This window comes from Homo sapiens, chromosome 19, assembly GCF_000001405.40.
Source record: "Homo sapiens chromosome 19, GRCh38.p14 Primary Assembly".
Taxonomy (NCBI): Eukaryota; Metazoa; Chordata; class Mammalia; order Primates; family Hominidae; genus Homo; species Homo sapiens.
This window is the reverse complement of record NC_000019.10, coordinates 42,189,874-42,198,484: the sequence shown is the minus strand read 5'-3', so window position 1 is coordinate 42,198,484 and position 8,611 is coordinate 42,189,874. Positions and strand designations below refer to the sequence as shown.

Here is an 8,611-nt window from a genome sequence, read left to right as displayed (position 1 = left end):
CTGCCTCAGCCTCCCAAGTAGCTGGGACTACAGGTGCCCGTCACCATGCCCAGCTTTTGGACCTCAGTGGGCTGGGAGGAGGAGTGTTCCTGGCCCAGCGTTAGGGACTGGAGTGTGGGCAGGATGCTGGACCATATGCCAGCTGATAACCACACGCTTGTCCTCCCCTCTGGGTGTCAGTCTTGTCCTCTGTCAAAGGAAGAAATAGAATACTGCCTCGGAGTCAGAAACCCTTCCAACCATGTTCACACATGCTTTGCTCCTGTATGTCCTTGGGGGCTCCCAGGAATTTTTTTTTTTTTTTTTTTTTGAGACGGAGTCTTGCTCTGTTGCCCAGGCTGGAGTGCAGTGGCATGATCTCAGCTCACTGCAAGCTCCGCCTCCCAGGTTCACGCCATTCTCCTGCCTCAGCCTCCCGAGTAGCTGGGACTACAGGTGCCCGCCACCACGCCCGGGTAATTTTTTGTATTTTTAGTAGAGACGGGGTTTCACCATGTTAGCCAGGATGGTCTCGATCTCCCGACCTTGTGATCCGCCCGCCTCAGCCTCCCAAAGCGCTGGGATTACAGGCGTGAGCTGCTGCACCCGGCCACTCCCAGGATTTTTAATTTGTTCAGTGAGGTGGGCCAGCTACACCCAAGGCTGATGAAGCGCCTAAGCTTTGGAAAATGAAAAGATAGGCAGCCAGAGGTTCTCTGCCTGGAATTTGTCTCCACGTGGCTCCCCACTGGTCACACCTGGACATTAACCTTCTCTTCACCTGGATCTCTGTTCTTTCTGAGGCCAAACACTTCCTCCTGCTGTTCTGTGGCTCCAGCTGAGGTTGTGGCCTCCTGCCCTTCCCCCACCCCTCATGTAAGGGCTCAGGAACTCGTTTCTCTTACTCAATATTCAGGGTTTTCCTTCCTCAGGGGTGGGGAGTGGGGGTAGGGTGGCAGGGATTTCCAAGGCTGCCTTTCTTGCAGGGATGGGTGCCCCTGCCCACACCTTGGAGCCTGTTCTGGAATTTCGACCCGTCTTGATGTGCAGGAGGGGAGTGGCAAAGTCTAGTCGTGAGTCCTATCCAGCAGCCAAGGCCTGGTGGAGCCAGCTGCTGTGTGATCCCAGGTTCTGCCTTGACCCTCTCTGGGAGGAAGCTGAGTTCCACTGGACACCTACTCAAGATCTATTTAGCCCCCAGCCACACTGTGGGATTTTAAACCCATGTTTGATGTGAAATGGACTGAGAGAGGGCAGGTGATTTACCTGAGTGGTGGGAGCATTGAGATGGAGAGTACCTTAGTGACAGCAGTTAGGTGGGGAATGAGGTGGGGAATTCCACTCCCTTGCCCTGACCCTTCCATTTTCATGACCTAAGGCTGAGGCTCTCCTCTAGGTGGGGTTACCTGTGTTTGGGCTCCCAATTACTGGGCTAAATTCTAGGACCTGCCATTCCCTTGAGCCCCTAGCCCCTGGCTTGTCTCCTGGCCTCATTTGAATACGGGTCCCACCTCAAGGCTGGACACATTTCAGGCTCTGCCCCTGCTTCCGTTCCATGTCATTGGCCCCACCCCATTCTCTGGGTCACCTCCCCCTTAACCCTGTTCAGCCCCAGACGTGCCTCTGGCCAGCACGTGCTTGCCAGAAGTCAGGAGGGCCAACCTTGAGGCTGAAGGGATCTGCGCTGGCGCAGTGCACTTGGCGGGAACCATGAGGCAGAGGCTCGCGCCTCCAGAGCCTCCCTGAGCGCATGCGCCGTGGAGCTCCCTTGAGCTAGTCAAGAGTGCGGGCGAGGCGCGGGGGGTGAGGGACTGACCCTCGGGGCCCGGAGGTGGGTCAGATCTGAGCCCGGAGGACAACCCTGGGAGCATCGGGTAGAGAAACAGGATCGTGTGGGGACAGGGCGTGGGGCCACAGGAGATCGGAGCCCATGGGAGATGTGGGAGGCCGGCGTGGCCCCACGGAGGAGCGGAACCTTGGGTTGGCCTGTGCGGGCTGAGGAGGAGTTCAACAGAGTGACGGGGTATTCTGGGCAGGGGACAGCCTTTGCTGGAATTTTTCAGCCCTTGCGAAGGCCTCGGGACGTGCCTGAATGGGATGTAGTAAGACGGACAGAGTCAGAGGTAAGTGAGAACGTGCCGCCACCACCCATTCGAGGGTCAGCAGCCATTGTCCCCATGTTTTTCCGCGTGGGGAGCAGGCACAGGTGGGGACACAGGCCTGGAACCCGACAGTTACACACAAGGAGATCATGTGAGACAGGCCCAGCAAATGGCCCACAGGTCCTTGAGGGGACTGTGGCCTGGGTGCTGGCTCTGGAGGGCACCTGTGATGATGTGGACACAGCGGGTCGGAGCCCAGGGGACGCTGGGGGCACCGGGAAGCTCCCTGTGCTTTCTGCTACGAATCACCACCGCCACCGCCCAGATACGTTTAGTTGTGAAATAACATTCTGAAAAGTGCAGGACAGAAACGAACTGTTCATATTACCTGAGGTCAGGAGTTCGAGACCAGCCTGGCCAACATGGTGAAACCCCGTCTCTACTAAAAATATAAAAATTAGCCGAGTATGGTGGCACATGCCTGTAATCCCAACTGCCAGGGAGGCTGAAGCAGAAGGATCTCTTGAACCTGGGAGGTGGAGGTTGCAGTGAGCCGAAATCACGCCACTGAAGTCCAGCCTGGGCAACAGAATGAGACTCTGTCTCAGAAAAAAAAAAAAGACAGGAAGGGGAGGGAGGGAGGAAGAAAGGCAGAAAGGGAGGAAGGGAGGGAGGGAGGGAAGGTGGTGGAAGGAAGGAAAAAAGGAACGAAGGAAGGAAGAAAGGGAGGGAGGGAAAGAGGAAGGGAGGGAGGGAAGAAAGGGAGGGAGGGGGCCAGGCGCGGTGGCTCATGCCTGTAATCCTAGCACTTTGAGAGGCTGAGGCAGGTGGATCACGAAGTCAGGAGATCAAGACCATCCTAGGTAATACTGGGAAACCCCTTCTCTACTAAAAATACAAAAAATTAGCCTGGTGTGGTGGCGGGCGCCTGTAGTTCCAGGTACTGGGGAGGCTGAGGCAGGAGAATGGCGTGAACCCGGGAGGCGGAGCTTGCCGTGAGCCGAGATTGCGCCACTGCACTCCAGCCTGGGCGACAGAATGAGACTCCGTCTCAAAAAAAAAAAAAAAAAAAAGAAAAAGAGGGAGGGAAGGAAGGGAAGGAAATGAAGGAGGAAACCTCCCTCCTTTCCTGTGTTACTCTTGCCAAGAAATAACGTTAACAGCAGGGACGCTGGGGGATATCAGGGAGCCACCTGCCCACCTTTCTGTCATGCTCTCATCCCTCCCTCCATTCCCCCTCCCTTCTTTCCCTCCCTCCCTCCCTTCGTTCCTCCCTCTCTTCGTTCCTCCCTCCCTCCCTCCCTTCCTTCCTCCCTTCCTCCCTCCCTTCCTTCCTCCCTCCCTCCCTCCCTTCCTTCCTCCCTCCCTCCCTTCGTTCCTCCCTCCCTCCCTCTCTCCCTCCCTTCCTCCCTCCCTCTCTTTCTCCCTCCCTCCCCCCTCCTTCATTTCCTTCCCTTCCTTCCCTCACTTTCTTTCCTCCTTCCCTTCCTTCCTCCTTCCCTCCCTCCCTTTCTTCCTTCCTTCCTTTTTTCCTTCTTTCCACCTTCCCTCCCTCCCTTCCTCCCTTTCTCCCTTTCTGCCTTTCTTCCTTCTTCCTCCCTCCCTCCCCTTCCTGTCTTTTTTTTTTTTTTTTTTTTTTTTTTTTGAGACAGAGTCTCACTCTGTTGCCCAGGCTGGACTTCAGTGGCGTGATTTCGGCTCACTGTAACCTCCACCTCCCAGGTTCAAGAGATCCTTCTGCTTCAGCCTCCCTGGCAGTTGGGATTACAGGCATGTGCCACCATACTCGGCTAATTTTTATATTTTTAGTAGAGGTGGGGTTTCACCATGTTGGCCAGGCTGGTCTCGAACTCCTGATCTCAGGTGATCCGCCAGCCTCGGCCTCCCAAAGTGCTGGGATTACAGGCATGAGCCACGGCACCCGATCTCTTCCTTTCTTTCTTCCTCCCTTCCTTCCTTCCTCTCTCCCTCACTTTCTTCCTTCATTTCTTTCTTCCTCTTTCTCTTTTTCTTTTGCTTCTTTCAACAGGGTCTTGCTCTGTTACCCAGAATGGAGTGCAGTGGCACGATCACAACTCATTGTAACCTCAAACTCCTGGGCTCAAGCAATCCACCTCAGCCTCTTGAGTAGCTGGGACTACAGGCATGCACCACCACACCTGGCTTATTATTATTATTTTTTTTGTAGAGACGGGGTCTCACTATGTTGCCCAGGCTGGTCTTGAACTCCTGGGCTCAAGCGATCCGCCTCAGCCTCCTAAAGTGCTGGGATTACAGGCATGAGCCACCGCCTTGCTTTTCTTCAATTTTCTAGTTTTTCATCACTCAGTGATAGAGTTAATTTTATCTCTTCTTGAACATAATATAAATGGAATCATACCATATGTTTGCTGTTGTGTCTGGTTTCCTTTACCCAGCGTTGTGTTTGTGAGATTCTTCTATATTCTGCTTATCTGTAGTTGACTCATTTTTATTGGCGTATCATGGTACTCCATTGTATGAATATACACAATGAGTTCATGCACTGACCTTTTGATGGACATTTGGGTTGTTTCCAGTTGGAGGCTATTATGAATAATGCTGCTATGAACATTCTTGTGCATGGTTTTTGGTGAACAAATGCTTATGTTTCTATAGGGATATACCTGGAAATAGAATTGCTGGACATAGGTATGCGTATGCATGGGTTTGGCTGTCTATACTGTTTCTTGTAACTGCTATAACAAATTACCATAAACGTGCTGGCTTAACACAATATAAATGTATTTTCTCACAGTTCAGGAAGCCAGAAATCTAAAACCAGTTCCACTAGACTGAAATTAAGGTGCCAGCAGGACTGCACTCCCTCCTGAGGCTTAGGGGAGAATGTGTTCCTTGCCTATCTCAGCTTCTGGTAGCCACCACCATCCCTTGGCTTGTGGCAGCATCACTCCAATCTCTGCTTCTGTGGTGCCTTCTCCTCTTCTGTCTGTGTCAAATCTTCCTCTGCCTCCCTCTTAGAAGGGTATATGTGATTGCTTTAAGGGCCCACCCAAATAATCCAGGATAATCTCTTCATTTCACAATCTTTAATTACATCTGCAAAGTCCTTTTTGCCATTTAAGGTAACATTCACAGGTTCCAGAGCTTCAGTCTGGACATCTTTCGCAGGAAATTTTTCTTTCCTCTTTTTTTTTTTTTTTTTTTGAGACGGAGTCTCGTTCTGTCGCCCAGGTTGCAGTGCAGTGGCCCGATCTTGGCTCACTGCAAGCTCCGCCTCCCGCCATTCTCCCGCCTCAGCCTCCCTAGTAGCTGGGACTACAGTCGCCCACCACCACGCCCGGCTATTTTTTTTTTTTTGTATTTTTAGTAGAGACGGGATTTCACCGTGTTAGCCAGGATAGTCTTGATCTCCTGACTTCGTGATCCGCCCGCCTCAGCCTCCCAAAGTGCTGGGATTACAGGCGTGAGCCACCGCGCCTGGCTTTTGCAGGAAATTTTTCTGCACACTACACTCTCCAACTATTTTTCTGAAGTGTCAGTACCAGTTTACTCTCCCACCAGCACTGAATGAGAGCTCTCTTTGCTTCACATTGTCACCAATACTATGTGTTGTCAGATGCTTTAATTTTGCTGATCTGATGGATGTGTAGCAGTTTATCATTGTGGTTTACTTTTCTTCTTCCTAATAATTAAATTCTGCTCTTTCTTGAATGAGGAGTAGGAGGTCTTTGAGTGTATAGAGTGGGTGAGGGTATTCCAGGTAGATGGAATAGCATGTATGAAGGTCTCAGGAAATATTTGTTTAAATTGAATAAGAGGTTTAAAAGAAGCATTAGGTTACTTAAAATAAGAAGAATTATTATTACCAAGGGTAAATACGATGCAGAGGTAGACTTTTCTGTTTCCCTCAAACACCAAGTCATTCAACAAGCATTTACCAGCTTAAACACCTGTCCTAGGTACTACAAGATGAGTTAGATCCAACCCCACCCTTGATAAACTCTGGCTTAGTAGGGAACATGATCACTGGGGACATCTCAAAGGGATGTAAGAGGGACTGAGGACCCAGATTTCCTTGAGGCTTATGTCCTCAGGTTCCACCACCCTCTATCCCACTTCCCTGTTGACATCCGTTGACTCCCTGGTCACTTCACCTCGTTCCTGAAGACTAGCACCTGCTCATAGACTTCCTCTCCACCCCAACCCATGCTCTCCTGCTGGGATATTTAACTGTCCCTGATAATCCATCCTCGTAATGATCTAGCCTCACAGTCTCTTTCCACTTCATCTCTGGTGACCTTCATCCCACTTTAGTCATCCACTCCCATGACCACACCTTGGGTTTAGTCATTACCAGGAAGTGTAACATACATAGTGAACATTTACAGAGCACTTATACCACATGCCAGGCACTTTGCCAAATGCTTTACATGTGTTTACGCCTGACACAAACCTGGAAGGCTGGTGTTAGTATCCTCATTTTACAGATGAGGATATACACTCAGGAAGGTAAAGTCACTTGCCTGGGTGACACATTTAGTAAAATGGCAGAGTCGGAATTCTAACACATGACTTTCTGAGTTCCAAATAAAAAATCCCTGATTTTAACCACAACCCAGTTCAAAATCCAGCATCCTGCTCTCTGATCCCAGCACCTGCCTTTCAGATCTGACAGCCCCTCACTGCCATCACACCTGTGGCGTCAACTCAAAGAGAGCTCTACTCCCTTGATCCCTCTGTTTTCTGCCAGTCTGCCAGACCCCTCCTGGCTTCTCTCCCTTCCTTGCCCAGCCAGAGTCTCATATTGGACCATCTGAGCTCTTTCACTAGCTCTCTAATAGTCAAGGTCCCAGCAGGAAACAGAAGGCACCACAGCTGGGATTTTGAAGATAATTTAATGAAGGGACTCTTTGCAGAGGTGTGGGCAGGGTTGAGGTAACCAACAAGGGAGGTGAAGGCAGCAGGAAGCTGTGACCACCCTTAGGTCTGAAGGAGTGAGGAAAGGATTGGTATTACTGGAGTGCTGTGAGAGTCATGGAACATGCCTGAGAGGAGCTGGAGTTGTGGAGGGGCACAGCCACTGTCAGAACCAAGGTGCTGACACAGAGCTGGGAGTTGGAGAAGAAGTATCCAGAATGCTTTCTTTTTCTGTTCTCTGATGCCCTGCTGGTGCTTCTTTTAGGGAGGAACCTAATTTGAAGTCAGAGAGCAAGGGGGGGTCCGATGATGCCACCCATATGGGTAGAGAAGAATGGAGGGTGGACCTGGAGGGCAAATGGAAAATGACCAGCATATGCTCTCAATTCCCTTACAATCCTACAACCCTAGCCTTTTTTTTTTTTTTTTTTGAAACTGAGTCTCGCTCTGTCACCCAGGTTGGAGTGTGGAGTGCAATGGCGCGATCTCAGCTCACCACAACCTCCACCTCTTGGGTTCACGTGATTCTTGTGCCTCAGCCTCCCAAGTAGCTGGGATCACAGGTGTCCACTGATTCCCCATTTTTTCAGGTTACACACTTAACCAGACCTATGCTAAAATCCACTTTACCGTTACATCTATAGGTGTTAATTTAACCTTTATCCCACAGAACTTCCTTGGCCTACCAGGTATGCCTCGACGTTACTCCGACTATCCTGATACATATACCGCATGAAATATTATCTCATCCATAGGCTCATTTATCTCAGTAACAGCATTCATACTAATAATCTTTATAATTTTTGTATTTTTAATAGAGACAGGCTTTCACCATCTTGGCCAGGCTGGTCTCGAATTCCTGACCTCAAGTGATCAGCCTGCCTCGGCCTCACAGAGTGCTGGGATTACAGGTGTGAGCCATCGTGCCCAGCCCCTTATACCCCCAGCCTTCTGCCTCATTTGCCAGCATATCCCTAACTGTGGTCCAGGTGGTAGAACTTGGCTCAGGGAAAAATGGTGGCAGAGTAGCACATATAGGTGTCACTCAAACTTCTTAGCCAGCCCCCTCTCTCACTTACCCTTCTCCCTTGAGCATCCCTACAACCCTACCCTTTCAGTCTCAACAAATAAAATTGAGGCAAATGGACCATGATTTCCTTCAACTTGTTATCAAACATATATATATATATAGGTTTTTATACATATATATACACACATATATATATAAAGATTTTTTTAAACAAATGAAACAACCCTTCATGTAGCCACACCCATATTTATTTCACTTCTTCAAGCTCTGTTCTTGTCCTCCTCTCCACCTGTGTATTGCTCATCCCAGCATGACTCCCAGCATGACTCTTACTCCATCTTTCTTCCCTTCCCTGTTTCCACACCTTCCCTCTTCTCTGTCTTCCTTCTTAACCTATAGATACATCCATGTTTCTACCACCTTAGAAACTAACTAAAAGAAAAAAACTCACCAGGTGCAGCGGCTTACGCCTGTAATCCCAGCACTTTGGGAGGCTGAGGCGGGAGGATTGCTTGAACCAAGAGTTCAAGACCAGAATGGGCAACATAGTGAGACCCTGTCTCTGCTAAAAATAAAAAAAAATTAGCCAAGTATGGTGGTG

General features: G+C 49.9%; 1 protein-coding gene across 2 annotated transcripts in view, besides 1 other annotated feature; it reads left to right on the top strand.

Annotated features, from left to right (window-relative positions):
- POU2F2 (POU class 2 homeobox 2) overlaps positions 549-8,611 on the top strand; it is a 111,827-nt gene continuing 103,764 nt past the window's right edge. Inside the window, exon 1 of one of the 2 annotated variants that reach the window (XM_047438955.1) lies at positions 549-1,052. The gene's annotated coding sequence lies outside the window, so the exon portion shown is untranslated. Of the gene's footprint in view, positions 2,103-8,611 lie in introns of both variants that reach the window. The other variant, XM_047438954.1, reaches the window with a different exon arrangement.
- Positions 1,192-1,733: an enhancer, noted in NCBI's record as "H3K4me1 hESC enhancer chr19:42700904-42701445 (GRCh37/hg19 assembly coordinates)". NCBI's record gives its function as "activates a minimal SCP1, AML or CMV promoter by ChIP-STARR-seq in primed H9 embryonic stem cells {active_cell/tissue: H9 hESC(primed)}" and the evidence as "EXISTENCE:reporter gene assay evidence [ECO:0000049][PMID:30033119]".